At 39.1% G+C, this 27,140-nt stretch overlaps 1 protein-coding gene and 1 pseudogene across 8 annotated transcripts in view; one reads left to right on the top strand and one right to left on the bottom strand.

Moving 5' to 3' along the window:
* Window positions 1–6,702: 6,702 nt before the first annotated feature.
* FMO1 (flavin containing dimethylaniline monoxygenase 1) overlaps window positions 6,703–27,140 on the bottom strand; it is a 37,485-nt gene continuing 17,047 nt past the window's right edge. For 2 of the 8 annotated variants that reach the window (NM_001282693.2, NM_002021.3), the window contains exons 3-9: window positions 24,950–25,138; window positions 17,173–17,335; window positions 13,810–13,952; window positions 11,696–11,895; window positions 10,348–10,703; window positions 9,465–9,537; window positions 6,720–7,479 (exon numbers count right to left, since the gene is read on the bottom strand). In NM_001282693.2, coding sequence (NP_001269622.1) covers window positions 7,137–7,479; window positions 9,465–9,537; window positions 10,348–10,703; window positions 11,696–11,895; window positions 13,810–13,952; window positions 17,173–17,335; window positions 24,950–25,138 — 1,467 coding nt within the window. In that variant the 3' untranslated portion in view covers window positions 6,720–7,136. Of the gene's footprint in view, window positions 7,480–8,183; window positions 8,759–9,464; window positions 9,538–10,347; window positions 10,704–11,695; window positions 11,896–13,809; window positions 13,953–17,172; window positions 17,336–23,594; window positions 23,686–24,949; window positions 25,139–27,140 lie in introns of those variants that run through there. The other 6 variants (XM_006711241.5, NM_001282692.1, XM_005245037.4 and 3 more) reach the window with 6 other exon arrangements.
* Window positions 21,093–21,718, top strand: HMGB1P11 (high mobility group box 1 pseudogene 11; annotated as a pseudogene).

Genomic DNA, 27,140 nt, shown 5'->3' with positions numbered 1-27,140 from the left:
CATAAAACCCCAAATACTTAAAAACATGTTGAAAGAAACCCAGAGCATAGCTCCTACAGAAGAGAAATCTACTTGGAAACAGGCAGGGAGGTACTTGTCTCTTGAAAGTGAAATATGATGTGGACCTAATAATAAACCCATTATTCCAATGGGATGTCAGGTGTCCCTTATGGAGTATGTTCATAATCTAACCCATTGGAATCTAGATAAAATAATACCCTGGTGTAAACAATATTACTGGAAACCATCCTTCACAGTGGCACAAAAAGGTTACTCTTTTTTTTTTTTTTTTTTTTTTTTTTGAGACGGAGTCTCGCTCTGTCGCCCAGGCTGGAGTGCAGTGGCGGGATCTCGGCTCACTGGAGGCTCCGCCTCCCGGGTTCACGCCATTCTCCTGCCTCAGCCTCCCAAGTAGCTGGGACTACAGGCGCCCGCCACTACGCCCGGCTAGTTTTTTTGTATTTTTAGTAGAGACGGGGTTTCACCGTTTTAGCCGGGATGGTCTCGATCTCCTGACCTCGTGATCCGCCCGCCTCGGCCTCCCAAAGTGCTGGGATTACAGGCGTGAGCCACCGCGCCCGGCCCAAAAAGGTTACTCTTAATGTGCTATTTGTCCCAAACAAAACCTAGGAAAGACCCTCCATGGGGCCCACGGTCATTTTTTCCTTCCGGCTGGACCCTTTGAGGTATGGCAGCTTGATTTTATCTGGCTGCCATCATCTCAAGGTTGTTAAGTATGTTTTTGTAATGGTCTGCATGTTTTCCCGTTGGGTTGAAGCTTTTCCCTGCAGGCAAGCAACAGCCATGGCAGTTGGAAAATTCTTCTACAAAAAATTATCCCACTGTGGGGAGTCCCCTGTGAACTTCACAGTGACAGGGGAGCTCACTTTACCGGCCAGGTTATTCAAGATGTTTGTGAAATTTGGCCCATATTTCAACATTTCCATTGTGCCTACCACCCCCAGTCCTCAGGCCTGGTGGAAAGGACCAATGGAATAATTAAAACACAATTGGCTAAGTTCACAGAGGCATTTCACCTCCCCTGGTCCAAAGCTGCTTACGGTCTGATCCACCCCTTTTGGAAAACATCAACTTTCCCCTTATGAAATTATAACAGGAAGGCCCATGTGTATGGGAATGAACATAACCAATCCAACTCTTCTTAAGGGAGATATATTGCAATATTGTGAGGGACTCATTTATTACCGTAAAAAAAATCAAGATTTGGGCCAGGCACAGTGGCTCATGCCTGTAATCCCAGCACTTTGGGAGGCCGAGGCAGGTGGATCATGAGGTCAGGAGTTCGAGACCAGCCTGGCCAATATGCTGAAAACTGTCCCTACTAAAAATACAAAAATTAGCTGGGTGTAGTGGCATGCACCTCTAGTTCCAGCTACTTGGGAGGGTGAGGCAGAAGAATCCCTTGAACCTGGGAGGTGGAGGTTGCAGTGAGCTGAGATCACGCCACTGCACTCCAGCCTGGGTGACAGAGTGAGACTCTGTCTCAAAAAAAAAAAAAAATTAAGATTTGGTAAATAATTCCTTTCACAGTATGCACCCTGAAGATAAGGTGCCTGGCCATGATCTGCAACTAAGAGATTTTGTCTACTGGGAAGGACATCTAATAAAGGACTTCCTTCAACCCCAGTGGAAGGGGTACTATACCAGGTATTATTGACTAATCCATGTGCCACAAAATTAGAGGGTATAGACTCATGGATTCACATCTCTCATCTTAAAAAGGCACAATGTCCTGAGTAGACTGTAACTCCCACCAAAGACCTTTGCCTCCAGTTCATTAAACATCAACCTTTAATGCAGGATTAGAAGCAGACGACAGCTGTTGTGGACGGCTTAAACCCAAGACACAGAACCAGGCCTGTATACCAAGGAATGCCTATGTTTATTGTACAATAACCATTATAATTATTGTCCTAGATATGCTGGCAACAGCAGTCTTATAAAGAACAGAGCACTTACCTTGTCTGATTTAACACCCTTTAGTAACTAAATAAATTTCACAACCTTGAAATGAGACTTGTTTCATCATTTTCCTCCACTGACAACACTTCTTTGTTTTTACAAACAATATGACAATGAACATCTTTGTATAAATATCTTTGTACACATGACAATTTCTATGGAATAGACTCTGAGATACGTAATTGTGTCAAAGGATACATGCATTTAAAATTATGCACGATATTGCCAAATTGCCCCCAAATGCATTTAATATCATTTTGATTCCACAATGACCACTTTCCTCCCCTAATGGCCTGGAATATGTCCCTTTGAGTCCTTTTATGTCTTGATATTATAGTATGGCTTTTGCAGAGGAGCATTTTGCTAACATGGATTCTCCTTTGCTGCCGGCATTTAAGATTAGCTCCTATTTCTAACCTCATATTGCACTCGCTCCTTCTCTGTTTACTAATCTGGCTATAACTCTAATAAGAAGCATACTCTTTATAAAGGCTGCTTATACGTCCACAAAAATGAATGTCTGAAATTAAAAAAAATGCATAGTTAAGTAGTATAAGTTTTACTCTGTAGGAAAATTTGCTCAATAATAGAGGCTGATCTCATATTTTTCCTTTTGGCTTAAAATATTTAGGTCCACTTTAAAATGTCTAACAAAGTTTTTGTCTTTCAGAGAAAGAATTAAATGCAGTCTTCTTTCATTTTTAATCAAAGTGCTCTCAAGTTAGAATATTTTAAAATAATAATGTATTCTATCTCATGAGGGACAGGACAACTCTAAAAGATGTTGTTTTTCTCAGTTGTTTACAGCCCCCATGTGAAACTTCCTAAATTGGGAAGCAGTGATTGAGACAGCGACACTGAGGGTAGGAGAACATAAGAAGCTCTTCATTTTTATCTCCTCTTACTATGACTGCTTCTGAGAATGGCATCACCCACAAATTATTCTTGGGGAAGCAGGGAGACAGGGGTAGAGGGACTAAATGGTGGTAAGGGGACCAGGGAAGCCAGGTAGCACTAACCTAGGGAAGAAATTAAATGAGTCTAAACTAGCCAGTGAGGAAGAAGGGAGGGTAAGAGACAGATGAGTCTGTGAGATATTAATAGTTACCTTTAGGTAAGCACTGACCACATGCCAGGCACTGGCCTAATGCTTTACATGGATTATCTTCATTAATTCTCCGTTACAGCAATGCTGAAGTGTTACTTCCATATTTTATAGATAAAGGAACTGAAGTTAGAAGACATTAAATAACTAGCCCAAGGTTGTGCAGCAAAGTAGGATTCAACCCGGGCCATCTGACTCTACAGCCCATGTGTTTGCACTCAGTACCACAGTGGTCTTTGCTCTGTGTTAGAGACACACTTGATAAGGCTCATAGGCTGTTGGATATGAGGTATGAGGGTTAGAGTGTCAAAGGTGATGTGTTTCAGTGGAAACATAACTATTGGTAAATGGTGTTGCTATTCCTTGGAAGAGTTAAAAGATAATTTTCAAAGAAGGTAGAATTGTGATTCATACAAATGTAAGATAGACACGTATTAGAGATTTTATTTCACTTGTTATTAAAAAGGAAATTGGTAAGATGTTACAATCAGTTCAAAAGAAAATTTAAAGATAAAATACGCATGTATAAATCAGGAATGTTGAAATGAATGTGCAAATGGAGGCAAAACTAGTTTTTCGCACAGTGGGGAAGGGACGCCAATTAGACTTCTGCTGGACATTATCTACGTGTCTATAGACAAGAATTATTTTGCACTGCTATTAGTTATCTATAATTTACTGAGTTATAAAATAGTTACCATAGAATAAAAATCAAATAACCTCATTAATGTCCTTAGTCGATGTGTAATTATTCACGGAAATTGTTCATTTCCCTACAGAGGATAAGGATGATGACATTAGCAGTTAAGTAAGGACTGTTGGGGAAAATAAGGACTGTTGGGAAATGAGTTTAATTTTGAGCATACTGCATTTGAGAGGCCTGTGACATACTGTGGTGTCAATGCCCTATGAGGAGCTAGGTCTATGGCCTAGAAAAAATAAATCAGGCGATAAAACATACATCTTGCTTGGGTAACATAGTAATAATAGCTATCATTTATTGAACACATACCTTGTACAGTATTTATGCGAAGTACTTTATGTGGATCATGCCATTTAATCCTCATAACATCCTTATGAGGCAAAATAAATTCTCAGAAGATAACTTCTATGTTATAGAAGGGAAAACTGTAGCTTAGGAAAAGTAAGTGACTTGCTCAAGGTCACACAGCTAGTAAGTGGCAGGGCCCTTGCTGGTTCTCCAAGCATCTCCACACGATGGGACATGTTGAAAGACCCAGAGCATTGGTACATGAGAAGATAGGTAACTTTACTTAAGACTGGTCTAGCAGGGGGTACTATTAATAGACATTAAAAATATTTTCAGAAAACATAAAATTACTCTTGGTGATGAAATGCCTCAGAAGCTCTTCTGATTTAAATAGTGTGCAAGAAACAGGAAATGCCTCAGAAGCTCTTCTGGTTTAAATAGTGTGCAAGAAACAGAGTAAGTAATGTAATGTCAAAATGTTTTACGTATTTCCTATTTTGCTAGATTTATGAGAATTCACTCAATTTTTTTTTCTGAACAGAAAAAAATGATACTTTTTTCAGGAGTGTGCATGGAATAATTTCTAGACTAGAAATGAGTCTGTTCTATAACACAGTCTTAGAGACTTGTAGACTTTTGAGTCTGTTCTATAATATAGTCATAGAGGAGGCCTAGCACAGCCATAGTCAGGAAAAAAAAGGAATGCACAGGGAAAAAGATGCATGTGGAGATTCAAACCCATGGATTCAGAAATTAAAGATATATATAAAGGGAAAGATATGAAATTCTAGGCACAGCATGAACGATTGACAATTGACAGGCAGACAGGTCCACACACACTCATAGGGAGAGTGGGAAAGGGAGAGAGACCTACAGATACTTTCATGGAGTAACATTCTTGTAATATGGCTTTTGCAATATCACTATTAAGGCTTCTGGAGTCATTTGAACATTGGAGACAGTGGGCTTAAATGGTAAAAAGCCTGTGATGTATGTTCTGGATTCTCATGTTCTGACTCAGCCACATTTTACCTGTTACCTGGGACAAATCAATTGACATCTCCTTATCTGAGTTTTCTTACTTGTCAAATTGTGTATGTAGTACAGTCGTCTTCCCAATCACATCATTATTGTGTGGATTAAGTGAGATAACAGTTGGCATTTTATTAATTTTAAAATAGTATAAAATGTGCAGCATTATAATTACTGCTGTAGTCTTTACATAATATATGTTTTTTTTTGCTGGCACCACCACTAATGTTTGGCACAGATTCAAAGGCAGCAGGGGAGGTTTTGTGTGTGTGTGTGTGTGTTTGTGTGTGTTTATAGTGAAAGAAAGGGAAGGCTTCAGGTACTCTCACTGATGGTTGTTGGCATAGGGAAGGTGGAGGTAGGTTAACTAGAAGCAAGACATCAGATGGGACTGGTTTGAGAAGCTTATTTGGCTTTCTTTCGTCACTCCTGAGTTAGAAGCAGGGGCAACAAGTAGAGAAGCTGGCACTCATTAAACAAGTCCTGACTGTTCTGAGCTGATTGCTGCAGGGGTTGTAGGTTATAAATCTATTGCTGTAAATGGTCTGGTCATTGACCATATGTATATTCAGTCTCCCAGTGCAGTAGATATGATCAGGTTCAGGTGGCCGCTTGTGTCATGATTTGCCACTGTGGCCTGAGGAGTTTATCCTTCCTTGTTTCACCTTGGGCACTAAACTTCTCCCCAGCCAGCTTCATGAGGAAAGTTAAAATATCAGCTTTGTTTCAATGGAAAGAAAAGCATTTCTAGGAGTAATCTAGATTGTATGCAGTGGGGGCAATTCTTCATCATGTGTTTCTATGGTAAGAGTGAAACAGGTCACAAGGAAAAGTAAGAAATGGAACAATACTGAAGAGTTGGCAGAGCCAAACAAAGTTGGGGAGAAATGATCTGTATCTGTACTGGCCCTACAGAGATCACTCTTTTCCTGACGCCACAGTTTTTGAATCTTGTCCCTGCATCCAAACTGTGGACCTCTCTGTGAGGTGAGGTTTACCCACAGGGTTTTCCATATAAGCCACGAGATGAAGTGAAGCAAAGCCTTTCCTGATTATGAGTCATATCTTCATCAGCTGTAACTGTGAGATAGGCTGGGTCTAGTTTCATTGAAACTGCTGCTTTTGACACGATGTTTGCTTTTGTTCCTCTTTTTCTTTCCCTTTTTTCCTCTCCCTGCTTTCTCTCCATTAAAAGCTTCTTGGCTGTGCTCTTTATCTAATGAATTCCAATTGAATTTGGTTGGTTCTCATTGACTCTTTAAAAGGAGGCAGCTCCATTTGCCTCTTACAGCAGGGTTGTGAAGGAGGATCTAAGCAGGTAGGCTTTTTCCTTTGGCTGCTGGAGGCTGGTTCTAAGAGCCCGTGGAGGTGGTGGTTTTCTGTGGAATCTGATTTGGGTCTTTGGGAGGCCAGCTGGAGTAACAGCTTTGTTATAAAGAGTGTTCTGGAGGAATGAACAGTCCCAGGCAGGTACAGTCCTTTGGGAAACTCTCAAAGTAACTCATTGAACCCCCTATCCTTTTATGAGCTTTATTCATAGAATCCTCATCTTTTTCTCCCTTTTCCCAATCTTTAATAAGAGAACAAAAGATCACTTAAAACAATCAATTTTTAGGTTTATTTTTTACTTTTAATAAGCCAGTACTATAAGAGCACCATTTCAGCACAACACAATCATTTGTGAAGTAAGGGGTTTTAGTTGAGATCTGTGAAAATAGTTTATATGGGAAAGAGGTATGATGGCTCAGAGTGCTGTCAAGAACAGCTTTCTTTCTAAAATGAACCTGTAACTTTCCAACAACCTTCAAATGCACAGAAGTCTTAGTTATCATTCTCTAGCATTAGAAGTGGAGCTGGGAGAGGCTCAGGAATACCAGTGGTAGCCCTGGGGCCAGCCAGGGAAGCGAGAGGGTGGCCTTTACTATTTGAATACAGTTTATAACTGTGAAGGCAATATTGCTGTAAGAGAGGAATTGGAGCATTGTAAATCTACTCTGTGCATCTTCCATTTAGGAGATCTTTTACTTATAGGAAAATCAGAAAAATAGCCACAAGCAAAGCCAGAAAGCTAAAGACTTTAAGAAAACTTTCAAAGGGAGATGGAGACTCTTGTACAACTCGAGCTTTGATGACCTTGAATGTTCGGTCCCACTGGGTCATGATGGCATTTCTGGCTCCTTCCCATTTTCCTGGGCCAGTCAAGCGGAACTGGTATGGTGAGCATGGGCCAAAGAAGACGGTCAGAGCCAGATGTGGATCCGTTAGGAGCATAGAGAACAGGTTGGGTTTTGCATTGATATAGGTCAGGAGTTCATCTATGTATGTGATATAATCTGATTGTAAAGCCTTGCAGTAGCACAAGCCAAACCTTTATAAAAGGAAGATTGGGGGAAAAGGTGAAGACAAAAAAACTGATAATCTTAGAACAAGTACAAGTGCCCAAAGCAAACAAATACTGCTGCAGAATTTGGGATGGTTTCTGCATTTTCCCCTTTATTTCCCTACCTATCTAACGGTCTCCTTCTGTTTCTTAAATCAAGATGAGTCCCTTCAAAAGATACTTTATACATATGGCTTTTAATGGGTGCTCTGAGTGCTCATAATGCATCTTAGTTCTTTTGTGAAATAATTAGCAATTTCTAGAGGAAAATATATTTTAAAATTTCTAAATCTTTATAAAATTCCATTATTCAGTAATAACAAATCCAATGATTTATATAATGTGAAAAGCCACAAAAATCTATAGGGTAAAATTCCCTGAAATGCTGGTATTAGGCTTTAATTAATTAATTAATTTTTCTTTTCCTTTTCTTTTTTTCTTTTTTCTTTTTTTTTTTTTTTACAAGGTCTTGCTCTGTCACCTAGGCTGGAGTGCAGTGGCATGATCATAGCTCACTGCAACCTTGAACTCCTTGGCTCAAGCGATCCTCCTGGCTTAGGAATAGGTGGGACTACAAGCATGAGCCACCATGCCTAAATAACTTTTATTTTTTTTGTAGGGATGGGGGCTTGCTATGTCATCCAGGCTGGTCTCAAAGTCCTGAGCTCAAATGATCCTCTTGCCTTAGCCTCCCAAAGTGCTGGGATTACAGGCATGATCCACTGCACCTGGCCCCTAAAATTGTTTGCTGACATGCGTGACAAGAAGATTTTCATTTTATAGCAGTTCTAATTAGTTATCTATTACACTGGAGTTCCATAATGAAGATCAAATCATATCCCAGGTTGAGGATAAAGAAGAGACATCTAAAATGCTATTATTGTTTTGGAATTTGGTACCTTGACAAGGATAGATCAACCCTTGAAGTTTGGGAATATATATGAACAAGAGAGTGATAATAAGTTCCTTAGATGCAATGATTTTAAAACTTGCTGTTTTTTGTTTTTTTTTTTTTGCCACAGAACCTTTATTTCAAGTGAAAATGTATATCAAACGCAGAAACAGATGAACAGATAAAACAAAGTGGTTTTATCAAACCACAAAACAATCAGAAATGTTTTGGTTGGATTGAGAGTGAGAGGGGAGGGCCAAGACTCTTTACTTTGCTGGCCATCAGTCTTCCATTGTCTCTAGCCTTGAGTGGTAGCCACAGAGCACAGCATAAGTGAAAACCTTTCCCATAGAGAAGTGCTCAATAAACTTTATTCTGAAAAAGGCCAGACAGTAAATGTTCAGGCTTTGAGAGCCACATTACAGTTTCTATCTCAACTGCTAAACAACTTTGGTACTGTAACACAAAAACAGCCATTGACAATATGTAAATGAATAACCATGGCTGTGTTCTAATAAAATTTTATTTATGGCCAGTATGGTTTCCATTTCATATGATTTTTTCACATGCTACAAAATTTTGTTTTTCTTCTTCCTTTTTTCCAGCCAATTATAAATGAAGAGCAAAAGCCACACTCCGAATAAAAACAATAGAGCTGATAGAGACTTGTTCAGTGAATGAATGAGCAGACACTTCTAGTGTCAGAGTAAATAGGTACAACTGCTTGCCTGTTGATTATGGATAAGATATGGAATAATGTACCTGGTAGATTAGGGTTAATTATGTAGTACTTGATTTGGAATCCAAACTCTATGTGATACTAGAAAACCATGGGCTGAAGTGATGACTTTGGGGACATTAAAAATTCTAAATTCCCCTTTCCCTTCTCTCTTCTTAAACAGGCTCTCCTAGTATTTTTCTTGTAAGTCTCAGATGCTTCTTTTTTTCTCCAATGTAACTTTCATCTCTCTGCTATTGTTTTTTTTTCTTTTTCATTTCCTTTTTTTTTTTTTTTTTTTTTTTTTTTTTTTTACCAATTTCAGTTATAATTTAAAAAGGGTGCATTAAGTAGTTAACTTACCAACTGGGCTTGTTTTCTTTCCTTGCATTAATTTCCTCTATCATGACACTTGGTGGTGGTAACTTATTTACACCTGTAGGATTAAAATAAAAACCTCAAATGCAACTTAAGTTTAGGTCTAGCTGTTGACTTATGGATAAAGATGCTTTACTATGGCTCTCCTTTCACGTCTAGTACCAGCTACTCATTGATCCTTCTGGCAAAAATGTTAGCAGCCTGAGCTGACTGGTTGTATGCTCCTGGTAATAATGCCGTCAGCTGAAAAGATAAGCATCTGGTCATCTCACTAATTATTTGATATAGCAGAATCTCACAACTAGTTTGGCTGAATGTTGTCACTCATTTGCTTGAGTTTAAAAATTTTAATTGAGCCAGTTGATTCAGTCAACTGACAGAAATGTTAACTGTCATTTTGTTTTAGTCAAAATAACAGGTAGCTGTGTGCAGTGTGCATGTCTGTAGTCTCCACTACTCAGGAGACTGAGGTAGGAGGATTGCTTGAGACCAGGAGTTTGAGGCTGCAGTAATCTATGATCATGCCTATAAATAGCCACTGCACACTAGTCTGGACGAGATAGTGAGACCCTGTGTCTTAAAAATAAAAAAGAAAAAATATCACAGTTGACATAGATACAGCCTATGTCAACTGTTATATTTTTGGTATATCAAAAAAATATATATATTTTTGACCCTGATATACCATTTATGCAGTAATGGAACAAATCATTATGACAGTATAATTCAGCAAACAATAGAATGCATCCTGCTTTTAAAGATTCTGTTATTTTAAATAGAAGCAGGAGGAATAATAGTCTCAACATTTCCAGTATCCAGAATCACATGGCACACCAAAAACACATGCCCTGCTATTTCTTATACTTACCTTTCAGGACTCGAACAGCCCACCGAGCTTGTGTTTCTCCTGTAGGTATCATGGAGCCCAAGGGTTTGATGAGGCCAATAATGGCCAGGGTTGGCTTTTGCAGATGTGCAGGGAAGATATACTTGTACAGTGAGGCCTGGCCATCTTCAACTTTCACTACAGACTCATCAAGGAAGGGGAAAGCAAATGTGTATCCAGTGGCAAAGACAATGATGTCAATAGGCTCTTCCTTTGAAGTATTGTTAAATATGACAGAGTTTTCCTTTACCTCTTTTATGCTTGGCCTGATGAACACTTTCCCAGTGATGATGCGTCCTGGGAGCTCATCATTTAGCACAAACTCTTTCAGCTGAGTCCTAAACAAAAACATGAACAGGGAGGAGACTTGTCAGTGAACAATTCAGCCAGCTCTCCCTTCTCTTTACCTCCCTCTCTCATTCTGGGGCTCTCTCCTTGGTTGGACAAGAATTGCTGCAAGTCTTGGGAGATGTTACTTCAGTGGAAGGGGATTCATGAATGTTCAGGAAGGATTATAAAATATGCTTGCCATTTACTAGAGTTTGGAAGCCTGAAGAGGAAGCCAGCACCTTCTCTAGCTTCTGTTTCTCTTGCTGATTTTTAGCATTCATCTGTCACTGTCATTCTAGAGTGGGGCTGAGAGCTGAAGGGCTACAAGGGAAACCAGGGACTTCTAGAGTGGCTGAGAACTTCTGAAAGCTCTAGTCTCTTCCTAGGAAAAAGTTTTATAAGGGAAACATGCATGTATTTAAAGGAACAAGGGCAGAATTGTCTTTTTCTGGCTATACCTTTGGAATCACAAGACAAACACTTTGTGAGCTGATCTTGTATAAGCTGAGCCATTTTTTGGGCCAAGGTCAATCTTGACAACGGGAAGAAGGCTCTACCATTAGAGAGATGGTGAGGGGCAACTATGGGATTCAGTTTTTCCCACACAGTGAAACTGGGCAAGTGTGTTTCTTTTATCAACAAAGTCATAGACAAATCATTCTCTTTTGGTTGCTACAGCTGAGGATCAAGTAACTTGCCAAGGTCACAGAGTTCACTTACTACTCAGTGAGCTTGGGTAAATGGCTGAATTTTGCTGTTTCAGTTTCTCCATAATAAAAGGATTATTATAATAATACGTAAAGTGTTGCTGACAAGGTGAAATACATAATTTCACTTTCTGAGTACTTAAGAACAGTTAGCTGTTATTATCAAGCAAATTTGTATCAAGTGTTCCCACACATTCAGCCATGTTGCTGTGGTACTGCCTGGCTTGTATAGGCTGCTGGACAGGCAGAGGCTCCTTCTTCCTAAAAGCCCTTGGCAGTCACATTATATTTACCTGTCTTCTGGTATTAAGCCGTAATTTGCATGATTGAGCCAGTTGTTTATCTTTCGCTCCATCAACCAAGTCACAATTGGGGTTGGGAGGGAATTTCTCAACATGTTCTGAAAGCGTGTCATGAACACCATGTCCCATGGGTAGCCCGAGTCAAAGATTCGGCTGATCACCCATCCCCCTCCGGTGGTGCTGAGGAACACCTGGAAGCAATCAAAGACATCCCTTCATTTGACACTGTGAACACGGCTGGCTGGTTCTGCCAGAGATTCAAGAAGTGTCATGAATGGAAAGGCACTGAAAAGTCTGCCACTCTCAAAATACACCCCTGACAAGATAGTCTTGGTTCTTCTAACTTCTATTTTAAAGTTAATCCTTTTGAGATTAGGATTCAGAGCATCTAGAGTATTAAAATGCCTTAAGACATATTATTGAATACTTATTATCTGCCAGCCTTTAGTAAACCATAGGGACCTAAAGTCTATGTAAGAAAACAATGAACAGGTGATTGCTACTTGGTGTGCTCACTATCATTGTAGGCAGTAAGAACAGGGAATGGCAGTATCAGAGTTGTCTACAGAGTTTCAGTGCAAACCATTGGCTTAAATGACAGCAAAATTCAGTACTACAATTACTTTTGGTATTTGTTCTTTTTAACATTGGCTGTTTGAATTTACCAGTTGACCGAATTCACAAAGCTAATAGTTTTAGTACTTAATAAGGAGTTTCCTGTACAATTGTTTACAAAGAAAATAATTAGTTAAGCAATCTGTTGCTTTGCTGATACAAAACAGCTGATTTAACAGATTGTTTCTTCCCCCACCAAACTGGGGAGCCAGCAACTAGTATATATTAGTTAGCTGAATGGCCCTCAATGAGTTTACAGCATAGTTGAAAAGAAACTATATATGATGAAAGGTAATTTGCAATATTAAGAATTTAAAAGTGAAAACTGAGGGGTGCAAATTACAATATTACTTACATTCTGAATAGGGAGAGATCACTTCGTGTTGGAGTGAGATATCTGGGAAGGTAAAGGTAGATTGTAATAGAAGAGAAAGGGGCTCTGAAGAAGAGAGAGGGGTAGCGTGAGCAAAGGGGAACTAAAGACAGGAACTGGAAAATGCTACAGTTGATTATCATGCAAGAAACAGAAGTTAAAATTAAAATGGCAGATTTGGTTCAGATTATAGAAAACTCTCTGATGCAGAGCTACTACGTCTGCAATTTATTTTTTTCAGGTAAAGAGAATAATTAGAGGTTTTTCAGCATGAGAGTGCTATAATGAGAGCAGGCTCTTCTGAGGATTTGTTTGTTGGTAGTTGGGGTCTAGATGGCTTGTTGTGGGTGGCAGTGACCTTGGGTAGTGGTACAAGGCAAAAATAAAATGCAGGGCAAAACCCTTGAGAAGCCTGAAGGTAGGAGGTAGAAGAGGATAGTTAGGAACGTAGGCTTTGAGTCAAAGAGACTTGGGTTTGAGAACTGGCTCTGCCACATGCTAGTGGTAAGATTTCAGGCAGGTTCTTTAACTTCTCTAAGCCTTGGTTTCCTCATGTGCAGTCAAGGATACTAACAGTACCTACTTCAGTGGCTTGTTTTGATGACTGGATAAAGTAGTGCAGTAAAAACACATTTAGTGCAGTGCCGGCCACAGAATAATCCTAATAAATATTAACTATTTCTACAACTATTATTAGGAGGACAATGCAATATCCTCAGTGTGAGGTAGCATGGACCTGATGAGGGTGTTGGTAATTAATAAGGAGAGGAATGGGCAAATGGGAGATAGTAGCAGGAAAAAGTTGGTAGAATTTTCTGACCTATGGGACTGAGTAGGGAAGAAACATGTCCTGTAGCTCTTGTTGGATGGCTGGGAAAATGACAAAAAAAAAAAAAAAAGTAAAAAGAAGTCAGAGAAGTTGGTTTTGGAGGGAAGATGACAACTGCAATTCATAGAAAAATTTGTGAACATTCAGTAAAAATTAAATTCCTTAGTAATCTGTTGTTTGCATGTGAGACATTTTATTCCTTTAACATTTATCATGGTGTCAAACACCATTTGCTTGAGGCATGCATCTTAAGATAAAGCTCTTCACCCAGTAACATCAGGAATGTACCTTTTCCGCCAGGTGGCTGGCCTCCACAGCAATGTCTGTGCCAGAATTTCCCATTCCAATCACAAGGACTCTCTTGTCCTTAAATATATCTGGATGCTTATATTGCCGGCTATGAAAGTACTGGCCTTTAAAGGCATTAATACCTATAGAAAATAAAAGAGAAGTCACACAGAGAATTAACAGGATCAGTGAATGAAACATAAATATTCTTCAGTTGATAACATTCTTTTGACAGATGATTTTGGTCATTTTTACTAGTATTCTCAAGTTTGAGAAAATATGAATACATGACTTTACAAGACATTGGCAGGTAATTATTTAAGGGGGGTTATTACTCCATCTCACTAGATAGGCCTCCAGTTTTACTTACTAGATAGTTAACTACTGAGCTGAAATATTATGGCATAAAGATATATTAAGCAAAAGTATAAGGAGTCATTATCATTTTAAAGGTTGATAAAAGTCAACAGGACAATAATGTTCTATTGATTAATACTTGATTTATATAAGCTTTTCATAAGCAAGAAGCTTAAGGGAACTGTGAGTCAGTATCTCTTTTCAGAAAACTTTTTGATCTCTGCTTTGTGCCTGGTACTGTGCTAGATGGTATGGGGGGAATAAGATAAATAAAATGTTGTCCCTATTCACAAAGTTTCATGTTAGTTGGAGAAGTTCACTTGGTGACTGACTGTAACTCAGGCTGAGTTTGCTGGGTTGGCCAGAGTTGGCTCAGAGAAAAAGGAGTGATGTCAGTTACACCAGGATTCAATCAACTGGGCTAACTTGATAGGATACCTTAGGCAGTGATGCTGAATCTTATTGAAACATCACATGAATGGAGAAGGTTTGAAAATACTCTTTTTCTTTTTTAACAGCAATAACTTAAGCAGAAAATACTCTTAAGACAACATTACATAATCAGAAGTAATATGTGCTAAACAAAGAACTTCTTTTTTCCTAAAAAAAGTAATAAGACCTCTACATTCTCAGGGGAAAAATGTATATACTTGTGGGGAGTGGCATTACAAGGCCTGCTGGCTCTTTAGCTCACCTTGAATTAGTAGAAATCTAACACGAATCCAAGTTAAAACCTAACCACAACACAGAGCATTTGGAATTTAGCAAGGATGCAACCAAGTTCCAATATTTACTCAGCACAGGAACCCAATATGGATCAGAGAACTGTTGCGAAGAAAGAGGTGGAAAGCCTAAGCAGAAAATACAGTTATCTCTGGATCTCATGTTGTTTTAGATTCTCTTTGGATAGGCTTTGTTTTGGGGGGTCACAAATGGACAAAAATGAGACTCTGTGGCTGTCTCTTAACAGACTAATACTTTCTCTTATCTCACAGAAAGACAGAGTAAGAACTTATATTAGGTAAATGTGGCTGTGTTAGTAAGTAGCAGAATGTCCTATCTAAGAAAAAAATTTATAATATAAAAAAGAAAAAAGGTAAATAGCAGAATGTATATATGTGAATGATAAAAGTAGTCATCTTGGGAAATCATACGTTTATTCTAACTGTGATACCTATTATTTTTACTACGACTTTTTAGTGCACCTTCTCTGGAATTGCTTCTAGAGCTTGTGATACATATTTTTAAATACCTTCAGTGAATTTGAATTTTATTTGACAGTTAACAACCATCGCAAGGAGTGTGTGCCATCTAAGCAAGTCTGCTGTAAGTCAGGAGATAGAGAGGTTGGGAGAACTGCTCTTCAACTCTAAAATCACAGAATTTTAGAGCTCAAAGACTCCTTAATCATTTAGCCAGGGATTTTAAATTGACAGTGGTAGATAAGATGGGTTTTAAGAAAGACTGCAAGCCTTGTAGAGCTCTTCTTGCTTGATTTGTGATGTGTACTGTTGGTTAAAGTAATCCAAGCTCTTCAATTTGTGGGTAAATTTGAGGCTTAGAAAAGTTAAGTGGGCGACTCAAGACTATCAGCTAGGTGGTTGTATATGCTAGAATTCATAGCTGCTGGGTCCCTACCTCTTCTACTCAAACTGAGCATATTGGCTCAATTGCTTTCAGGTATGCTTTATTATTTTAATCTGATGTAAACTTGTGTGACTTTGGGGGGCAAATCCAGGACCATGAGAGGTGTATGTTTAGGGTATTGGAATCACTACAGGTCATATGCAGACTGTGATTTCTCCACTGGACTCCATAAAACTCTATTCATTCCTCCAATACAGGTTACATGTTGCCTTATTCACCTCTATATTCTTAGCACCTAGTGCAATATACTGTAAGTGCTGAATGAATGTAGTTTACTCCCTATGCCATGGAACTTTCTGGATTCTTGCAGTGACTAGGTACTCCTTTCTGGAATTTTGGAGTGGATGGCTGCTCAGAGCCTTGCTCTGCAGGCAAGAATGACAAAAAATTGGGTTGTCTTCTGTGATGATGAGATTCCATTGTTGAATGGGTTCAAGAAGAGGCTATGGAGCCTCTCTCAGAATTGCTGAAAAATAATTTCCTGCATTGGGAAGAAGACTGAACTTGGTTCTTTCCAATTCAATGATTCTATTCTCTGGCAATTTTCAGGATATGCTTTATCCTAATCTAACCTGATCTGAGTGACCTCTGGGGGCAGATCCAGAACCATAGCATGCTCCTAAATTTATTGTGGTAAGATGAGTCTTGGGATCATTCTAGGCAATCATTAGATGATTTGGAGAAAAGTTTCTGAAAGTTTTAACTTTTTGAATGCTTGTTACAGATGAAATAAACCAAACCATTTCATTTTCTGTTCCATTGAGTTAAAATCCAGTTAAAATTTGGCATAGATTAACATGACTATGGTTGCAAAAGGCCGATAAGAAAACTGAGACCCAAAGATGTCTTAAGTTGTCTCCCAAGACTAATCTCCCTCTTGACTATTGACCAGTGCCGTAAACCTCTAATCTAATTGCTATCACTCACATAAGAGGAACAAATAGAAAAAATTACTTTTTTCTTTTTTCACAGATTGACTTTTGTGGCCTCTAAACTCAACTTTGGCAATGTGTACCTGCTGCTGAAGTTAATGACTTGTGTAAGCATCCCATGTCTCAGAAGACTTTCTGAGTGCTACCAGTCACTTGAGGGACATTGAATCTTGGTAAAGCATAAAAATACTTATAAAGTTATCCATTTTGCTCTTATGTATTCACAGATTGTTTGGAACAAATGAAAGCCAAAAACTGGCCAGAAAATGCTGGCTAGAAAAAAACAAAACAAAACAAAAAAAGCCTCCTCCTACCTCCCAACTTTAACTATTTAATGGAACAGCCATAGGAATTCATTCCCAGACCAATCAAGCATCAGAATGGCTCCCACGAGAAAACTTAAAGTTAGTTACAGAAAATGCTGTACCTGGAAAGGAATCCAGTGGCAAATAAGGATTAGTAAGAAAGCCAGTGCAGACCATGACAGCATCAAAGATGGCTGACTCTTGCTTCTCTTCATGCATAGTGACCACCTCCCATTGGCCAGAGACAGCAGAATCTGAGCATTTTGTTACACTGCAGACTTTGGTCTGAAAAAAGAATCACAGATATGATTAGCAGTTGTCAATGTTCCATTAAGCACTTGCCAGTTGATGTACCATTGATATTTTAAAAGTTCTAGAACACAGAATAAACATAATTAATAAGTATAACCCTAGAAACCTAATCAGGTTACCGGACTAATCATGATTCCCTAGATGGAGGTAGTCTAAGCTTGGAGAGATATCTAAGACAAGTGGTGGCATCCAAAAATTTTAAGTGATTTGCTCAAATTCTCACAGAAAGTGACAGAATCAGAATTAGAACCTAAGTTTCTGATGCCTTTTTCATTATCCTTTCTGTTATGCAACCTCATTTCTCACAGGGCTGTCTCTTTAACAAAAATTTCTTTGACAGATACATGGGTAAGATATAATTGAAAACCTGAATTTGGTCCTGTGTATATTAGCTTATGAGGTTTTATAGAATATGTTGCTGAAGTTTTTCCAGAACTAGAAAGCAATTGAAAAGTGCTAACATTATGGCCTGAATTTTTTTGAGAGTAGTCCACATTTCAAAGAATCTATTTTTTGCTCTTAGTGAGTACATACATGTCCATGATTACCAGGCTTTGGTTCAGGAAATATATGTACAATAAATCTCAGACAAGTCAAATTTAAAAGGATAAATTATTCACTCACCAAGTGGCTTGCTATCTTTCTTTCTTTTTTAAAGTTTTTAAAGAATATAGGCTTCTTAAGTCCCTCTTAATGGGTTCGCTATTTGATTTATACTATTTGAAGTGCTTATTGTGTTTCTACATTTGTAGTGCAACTGTCTTTTCTAAAAGTAAATTTTCAGTTAGTTTAAAATCTTTCAAAATAGATTTATTTTTAATCATAAAAATAATAAATATGTAGCCTGGGCAACATGGCAAAATCCCATCTTTACAAAAAAAATACAAAAAATTACCCAGGTGTGGTGGCCCATGCCTGTAGTCCCAGCTACTCAGGAGGCTGATTTGGGAGAATCACCTGTGCTTGGGAAGTCAAGGCTTCAGTGAGCCATGATAGTGTCATTGCACTCCAGCCTGGGCAACAGAGTGAGACCTTGTCTCAAAAAAAAAAAAGCTTGTCATTAAAAATTTGGAATATATACAGAGGAATGAGAAGCAAAACCAAACAAAATCAACTACAGATCACAGCTGAGTAATAGCTATTTGTGTTTACTTTTTTTTTTTTTTTTTTGAGATGGAGTCTCGCTCTGTTGCCCAGGCTGGAGTGCAGTGGTGCAATCTCGGCTCACCGCAATCTCCGCTTCCCTGGTTCAAGAGATTCTCCTGCCTCAGCCTTCTGAGTAGCTGAGACTACAGGCCCATGCCACCATGGCTGGCTAATTTTTTGTATTTTTAGTAGAGATGGGGTTTCGCCGTGTTAGCCAGGATGGTCTTGATCCACCCACCTTGGCCCCCCAAAGTGCTGGGATTACAGGTGTGGGCCACTGCACCTGGCCTTGTGTTTACTTTTTAAAACTTTGGTGAACATCTAGCTTTTTAAAAATTGTTCTAAAATGGCCTTGTGCCTGGCAACAGTGGCTCATGCCTATAATCCCCACCCTTTGGGAGGCCAAGGCAGGAGGATAGCTTGAGCTCAGGAGTTCAAGACCACCCTGGGCGGCATAGTGAGACCTTATCTCTACTAAAAATTAAAAAAAATATAGCCAGGCATGGTAGTATGTGCCTATAGTCCCAGCTATTAATAGTGGGGAGGCTGAAGTGGGAGGATTTCTTGAGCCTAGGAGGTGGAGGCTGCAGTGAGATAAGATCCTGCCACTGTACTCCAGCCTGGGTGACAGAAACTTTGTTTCAAACAACAACAACAAAATAAAAAAGGTCTTGGGCAGCATGTGGTAAAGGAAATGCTTCAAATTCAGAAATTTTGATGCATTAAAAAGAAGATTTTTATATGTTGTATATATTCATTATGATAATGCTTTATTTTTACTGTGTCCATTGCAAAATAAGGAAGTGGAATAAAATACTCTTTGGAAATCTGTTTAGGAGGATGTATTAGTCCATTTTCACACTGCTGATAAAGACAGACTAGAGACTGGGCAATTTACAAAGGAAAAAGGTCTAATGGAGAACTCACAGTTCCATGTGGCTGGGGAAGCATCACAATCATGGCAGGAGCAAAGAGGAGCAAGTCATATCTTACATGGATGATGTCAGGCAAAAAGAGAGCTTGTGCAGGGAAATTCTGCCTTATAAAACCATCAGATCTTGTGAGACTTATTCACTATCACTAGAACAGCATGGGAAAGACCTACCCTCATGATTCGGTTACCTCCCACTGGACCCCTCTCACAACATGTGAGAATTCAAGATGACATTTGAGTGGGGACACAGACAAACCATATTACTCTACCCCTGGCCCATCCCAAATCTCATGTCCTCACATTTCAAAAGCAATTATGCCTTCCCAACAGTTCCCCCCCAAGGTCTTAACTCATTTCAGCATTAACTCAAAAGTCCACAGTCCAAAGTCTCAACTGAGACATGGCAAGTCCCTTCCACCTATGAGCCTGTAAAATCAAAAGTTGGTTAGTTACTTCCTAGAAACAGTGGGGGTACAGGCATTGGGTAAATACAGCCATTCCAAATGGGAGAAATTGGTCAAAACAAAGGGGCTACAGGCCCCATGCAAGTCCGAAATCCAGCAGGGCAGTCAAATCTTAAAGCTCCAAAATGAACTCCTTTGACTCCATGTCTCACATCCAGGTCACACTGTTGCAAGAGGTGGGTTCCCATGGTCTTGGGCAGCTCTGCTCCTGTGGCTTTGCAGGGTACAGCTTCCCTCCTGGCTGCTTTCACAGGCTGGCATTGAGTGTCTGCAGCTTTTCCAGGCACATGCAAGCTGACAGTGGATCTAACATTCTGGGGTCTGAAGGATGGTGGCCCTCTTCTCACAGCTCCACTAGGCAGAGCCCCAGTAGAGACTCTGTGTGGGGACTCTGACCCCACATTTCCCTTCTGCACTGCCCTAGCAGAGGTTTTCCATGAGATCCCTGCCCCTGCAGCAAACTTCTGCCTGCACATCCAGGCATTTCCATACATCCTGTGAAATCTAGGTGAAGGTTCCCAAACCTCAATTCTTGACTTCTGTGTATTGCAGGCTCAATACAATGTGGAGGCTGCCAGGTCTTGGGGTTTGCACCCTCTAAAGCCACTGCCTGAGCTCTATGTTGGCCCCTTTTAGCCACAGCTGGAGCAGCTGGGATGCAGGGCACCAAGTCCCTTGGCTGCACACAGCATGGGGGCTCTGGGCCTGGCCCATGAAACCACTTTTTCTTCCTAGGCCTCCAGGCCTGTGATGGGAAGGGCTGTGGTGAACACCTCTGACATGCCCTGGAGACATTTTCCCCATTGTTTTGGGAATTAACATTTGGCTCCTTGTTATTTATGCAAATTTCTGCAGTTGGCTTGGATTTCTTCTCCAGAAAATAAGATTTTCTTTTCTATTGCATTGTCAGGCTGCAGATTTTCTGAACTTTTATGCTGATTCCCTTTTAAAACTGAATGCCTTTAACAGCACCCAAGTCACCTCTTTATTGCTTTGCTGCTTAGAAATTTCTTCTGCCAGATACCCTAAATCATCTCTCAAGTTCAAAGTTCCATAAATCTCCAGTCTCATTGCTAGAACATAAGAAGAGGCAGTACATTGAGCTCCATAGAGACAGCACTGGGGCAAGTGAGAGCCAGATGGGCACTGGGCAACTCTGTGCCTCACTGGGGAAAAATAACTAAACATTGGCAAAGGAGATTCTAAGAAGCCAAGAGGCAAAATGTCATCATATGCATTTTTTGTGCAAACTTGTCGGGAAGAGCATAAGAAGCAGCACCCAGATGCTTCAGTCAACTTCTCAGAGTTTTCTAAGAAAGGCTCAGAGAGGTGGAAGACCATGTCTGCTAAAGAGAAAGGACAATTTGAAGATATGGCAAAGGTGACAAGGCCCATTATGAAAGAGAAGTGAAAACCTAAATCCCTCCCAAAGGGGAGACAAAAAAGAAGTTCAAGGATCCCAATGCACCCAAGAGGCCTCCTTCAGCCTTTTTCCTGTTCTGCTCTGAGTATCACCCAAAAATTAAAGGAGAACAACTTGGCCTGCCCATTAGTGATGTCGTGAAGAAACTGGGAGAGATGTGGAATAACACTGCTGCAGAAGACAAGCAGCCTTGTGAAAAGAAGGCTGCAAAGCTAAAGGAAAAATACAAAAAGGATATTGCTGCATATTGAGCTAAAGGGAAGCCTGATGCAGCAAAAAAGGGATTTATCAAGGCTGAAAAAAGCAAGAAAAAGAAGGAAGAGGAGGAAGATGAGGAAGATGAAGAAGATTATGATGAGGAGGTAGATGAAGAAGATGAAGATGAAGAAGATGATGAATAAGTTGGTTCTAGCGGTTTTTTTTCTCGTCTATAAAGCATTTAACCCTACTGTTCACAAGTCACTCCTTTTAAAGAAAAAAATGGAAATGTAAGTCTGTGTAGGATTTGTTTTTAAACTGTACAGTGTCTTTTTTTATAAAGTTAACACACTACCGAATGTGTCTTTAGATAGCCCTCTCCTGGTGGTGTTTTCAATAGCCACTAACCTTGCCTGGTGCAGTATGCGGGTTGTAAATTGGCATGGAAATTTAAAGCATGTTCTTGTTGGTGCACAGCACAAATTAGTTATATATGGGGATGGTAGTTTTTTCATCTTCAGCTGTCTCTGATGCAGCTTATAGGAAATAATTGTTGTTCTGTTAACTGAATACCACTCTGTAATTGCAAAAAAAAAAAAGTTGCAGCTGTTTTGTTTACATTCTGAATGCTTCTAAGTAAATACAAATTTTTTATTAGTATTGTTGTCCTTTTCATAGGTCTGAAATTTTTCTTTTGGAGGGGAAGCTAGTCTTTGCTTTTGCCCATTTTGAATCACATGAATTATTACAGTGTTTATCCTTTCATATAGTTAGCTAATAAAAAGCTTTTGTCTACACACCCTGCATATCATATGGGGGTAAAGTTAAGTTGAGATAGTTTTCATCCATAACTGAACATCCAAAATCTTGATCAGTTAAGAAATTTCACATAGCCCACTTACATTTACAAACTGAAGAGTAATCAATCTACTCAAAGCATGGGATTACTAGAATCCAACATTTTGAAATTAGTCCTTGAAGGACTAATAGAAAAGTATGTTGTAATTTTTACATGAGGACTCTATTCTTTAACTCCCATTACCATGTAATGGCAGTTATATTTTGCAGTTCCCACATTAAAGAAGACCTGAGAATGTATCCCCAAAAGCGTGAGCTTAAAATGCAGGACTGCCATATTAAATTTTTTGTTGACATTAGTCTCAGTGAAGACTATGAAAATGCTGGCTATAGATGTCTTTTCCCATTTATCTAAATATGGACTGCTCAGGAAATGAGACTTTCCATTAAAAGTATTTTTAATTAATTGGGCCAGCTTTTAAAACAAAGATGCCACATTCAAAATAGCGTATATTTTCCTATATTATGGTTTGCCCCCTCATAAATCCAAATAGGAGGAAAGAAGACACTTAAATTTTGCATCTCAGTATGAATTATTCAATTTATTTGAATGATTTTTCTTTACAAAACAAACTCACTCATTAGTCATGATTATCTGCTTAGCAGTTTAGGGAACAATTTGGCAATTTTGTGATTTTCAAGATTATCGTTTTCTTAAGATGCCAGTATTTTAAAATAGTGTTATTGTAATTTTACACGCTTTTGTGATGGAGTGCTGTTTTGTTATATAATTTTGACTTGGATTCTTTCCATTTGCATTTGTTTATGTAATTTCAGGAGGAATACTGAACATCTAAGTCCCGGATGATACTAATAAACTAATAATTGCAGAGGTTTTTTTTAAAACAAAAAACCAAACAAGAGTCACCTTTGCTCCAGTTCCCAGCAAGTTCCTCCTCTCCATCTGAGACCATCTCAGCCTGGACTTTATTGTTCATATCACTATCAGCATTTTTGTCAAAGCCATTCAACAAGTCTCTAGGAAGTTCCAAAGTTTCCTACATTTTCCTTTCTTCTTCTGAGCCCTCCAAACTGTTCTAACCTCTGACGTTTCCACAGTTCCAAAGTCACTTCTACATTTTTTGATATCTTTTCACCAGCTCCCCACTCTACTGGTACCAATTTACTGTATTGATTTTCATGCTGCTGATAAAGACATACCAGAGACCTGGCAATTTACAAAGGAAAGAGGTTTAATGGAGAACTCACAGTTCCTTGTGGCTGGGGAAGCCTCACAATCATGGTGGAAGATAAAGAAGAGCAAATCACATCTTACGTGCATGGCAGCAAGCAGAGAGAGAGCTTGTGCAGGGAAGCTCCGCCTTATAAAACCATCAGATCTCATGAGACTTATTCACTATCAGGAGAACAGCATGGGAAAGACCTGCCCCCATGGTTCAATTACCTCCCACTGAGTCCCTCCCACAACATGTGGAAATTCAAGATGAGATTTGGATGGCGACACAGCCAAACCATATCAGAGGACTTTTAAGGTCGTGAATGTGAATGCAAATTTTATTTTCCACTTGTTTTGGTCAATGTCTCCATTTGTGTTGTTTTCTGTGTATAATTCTCTGTGAATTCCTCATCATCCTTACCTCTGACAGGGGAGGGAGAAAGGAGAAGGGAAACATAGATTTTCATATGTTTCTTGGAGAGGAAACAGAGAAAAAAAGGAAAAAAAAAGGACAAAAAGGATATATTATTCATTTGTCCCTGTCCTACTACCTTCCTCCTGTCTCCAGCCTCTGAAATGGGAGAGGAAGGGGGCATTGTAGAATAACAATATTCAAAGATTTTTCTATTCTCAAGAATATCTAGAAAAGATTTCTTTCACATAGCAAGGTTCTCTTGTGTATGGGCCACTGCACGTGTCCATTCCTATAAAAGAATAGTCAAGAAGAGAGTGGGAGCTGGGAGCAGTGGCTCATGCCTGTAATCCCAGCACTTTGGGAGGCCAAGGCAGGAGGATTGCTTGAGCCCAGGTGTTTGAGACTGCATGGCCAACATGGTGAGACCCCATCGCTAAAAAATATAAAAAGCTAGCTGGGTGTGGTGGTGTGCACCTGTGTTCCCAGCTACTTGGGAGGCTGAGGTGGGAGAATCACCTGAGCTTAGGAAGTCCAGGCTGCAGTGAGCCATGATCATGCCACTGCACTCCAGCCTGGGCAACAAAGTGAGACCCTGTCTCAAAAACAAACAAACAGACAAAAAACCAAACAGGAGACTGGGGAAGGGGGTTGGTGGTTCTCAGTGTCCATGTGGGCAGGCATTTGGCCCAAGCTGAAAATGTGGCTTGATATTTTTTAGGTTCCCTAAGATACTTGGATATAAGTATTGCAAACTAAAATTTTATACTTGTGAATCTTTACACAAAGTATCCTCCCCCACCTCCAGATTTACTTGAAGTGGGGAGTGAGTATAGGGAGAAAATAAATACAGCCAGGTGTCATTAATATTGCCAGTTTAGTATCTCATCTACAGAGCCCAGGGCTAGGCTGGAGAGATAAGAGAAAATAGGTAGGAAATACTTTCTGACTACTAACTGATGTTTTGTGTCTTACCTTGAATTGAATGTGTTTCAGAAGGTCAAAGTGGTTTGCATACATTTTGAGATATTCCAGGAATTGAGAATTTGGCACATAGTTTGGATAATCTTCTGGGAATGGAAAGTCTGAGTAACAAGACATCTCCTTGCAGCTGTTGGAAACCACAGACTTGTAGAGACTGGCTCTGCCTTCTTCAACATGTTCCTGTACAAACAGTGCACACACATGAACATTCATTGCATGCTCATAAATAAGCCTGGGAAGAACTCACCGGTCCAGATGCACACAGTATCATTGCCAAGCACAGGAGAATATAGAAATACATGAGAATCAGGAAGTAGTATTTATTTGAATGATGGACAATTGCTAGGTAATTTGGTTTTATGGGGTATTCTGGAAATGATTATGGAGAAGATGGTTCAGAGTATGAAGGATCTTGTATCCAAAGTTAAGGAATTTGGATTTTACAGGAAGGTTATGCCAATCTACTGAACGTTCTAAATATAGAAGTGATTCATATCACTTCTAAATTTTGGAAAGATAACTCTCGTTCTACAAAAGGTGAATTAGAGGGAGCTGGGAAGGAAGGAAGGGGGCGCTAGCCAGGAGCCTAATACACAAATCCACTTGATTGCTAATGAGGGCATGAGCAGAGGCAATGATAGCTGGAACCCAGAAGGGTGAGATTTGTGAGATGGCGGTAAGGTAGAACACATAGGATTGCAAAACCAATTAGATTTAGGGGTTGAGAGAGGAAGCAGTCAAAGGTTTCCAGATTGGACAACTGTGTGTGGCAAAGCACTAACAAATTTCCCACCCTCAGTTTTTACTCAAATAACTAGCAAATACCAATATCTCATAAGACTACTGCAAAGTTGAATGATAAACAGTTTTAGTAATGTCTTTAATATACATTGCCTCTGTCTTTTGGGGAGTAGTATGGAGGATTATTCTAATTTCAGTGGCAAGGTTCTTGTATTTTAACATTATTTACCATCTTGCATATGTATAGTTCATTTTTCCTGTGAAATAAAAATTATTTAATTTATGTGAACAAGTAGAAACATGAACATAAATCTCACATATGGAGAGGGCTTTCTCTGTTTCTGCAAAGGATGTGAATTGATATCATATATAGATTCCTGTATCTGTCTGAAATACACAGCAATCACAGATAACAAAATTATAAACATATCTCTGTGGTTTAAATTAATGTTATTTATCTCATTGACTGATAAGAGTTGATTACAACCTGCTTGTCTGTGGCCCACCTGTCACACAGACTCAGCTAAAATGCTTGCGAAAGATGACTATTTAAATCTTGATATTTTATTCAGCTGGAATATCTAATGCAGTGTTATTCAAACATAGTCTGCAGAGCAATACTGATATGAATGGTTTGTTACTAGTCTGTTACAGGATAAATACAGAAATCAAGAGTAAGCATTTAGAAACTTTTATAGCAATAATTTGACATTGCTCAATATGTAAGCATGTGGACACCATTTTGTTGAACAGGATATAAATCAGTCTTGTTTTTGTCTAACTTGTGTGATGAGTTTGAGTTGTGTACTAGTCATATGCCATAGGACTGTATTATCATGTGCGATGTTTTAAGGTTATTTTGAAAACTGTTATCCAAAAGTGCATAAAATCTGGAATCATTTTCTTTCATTGAAAGATTATTTATATTTAATCTTACAGTATAAGTTATTTGAACTGGCTACGGATAAAAGACTGAAGATACATTAAAAAAATGTAGCACTATCAGCTTCATTTTGGATAGCAGTTAAAAAATATACACTGAACTTGCTGAGACTGGTTTAAAAATCTCTTCCTCATTTCAATCAACATACCTCTGTGAGCCTCCTTTCTCTACTTTGACTGCTGTTAAGCAATGTTTAGAAATAGTTTAGATACACATTATCCCCTGCAAAGAGCATTGCCATCCATTCAAACCAGATTAGGTAAATTGACAACCAGGAAGCAAGATTAATTGTCATATTAAAAACCTTAAATAGTAATATAAAAAAATGTGTATTTAAAATGTGTCTACGAGTGTTTAACATGGAGAACTGCAATTTCATACAAAATATTTGTGTGGCAAAAAGTTACAAAGGTAATGATGACTCTCTGTGTCAATTGCCTATGTACCCACTTTCAAAGAACAATGTGTTCATTTTTTGTAATTGTTTTCCTTTATATC

Source organism: Homo sapiens, chromosome 1, assembly GCF_000001405.40.
Source record: "Homo sapiens chromosome 1, GRCh38.p14 Primary Assembly".
Taxonomy (NCBI): domain Eukaryota; kingdom Metazoa; phylum Chordata; class Mammalia; order Primates; family Hominidae; genus Homo; species Homo sapiens.
This window is presented reverse-complemented; position numbering and strand designations above follow the sequence as displayed.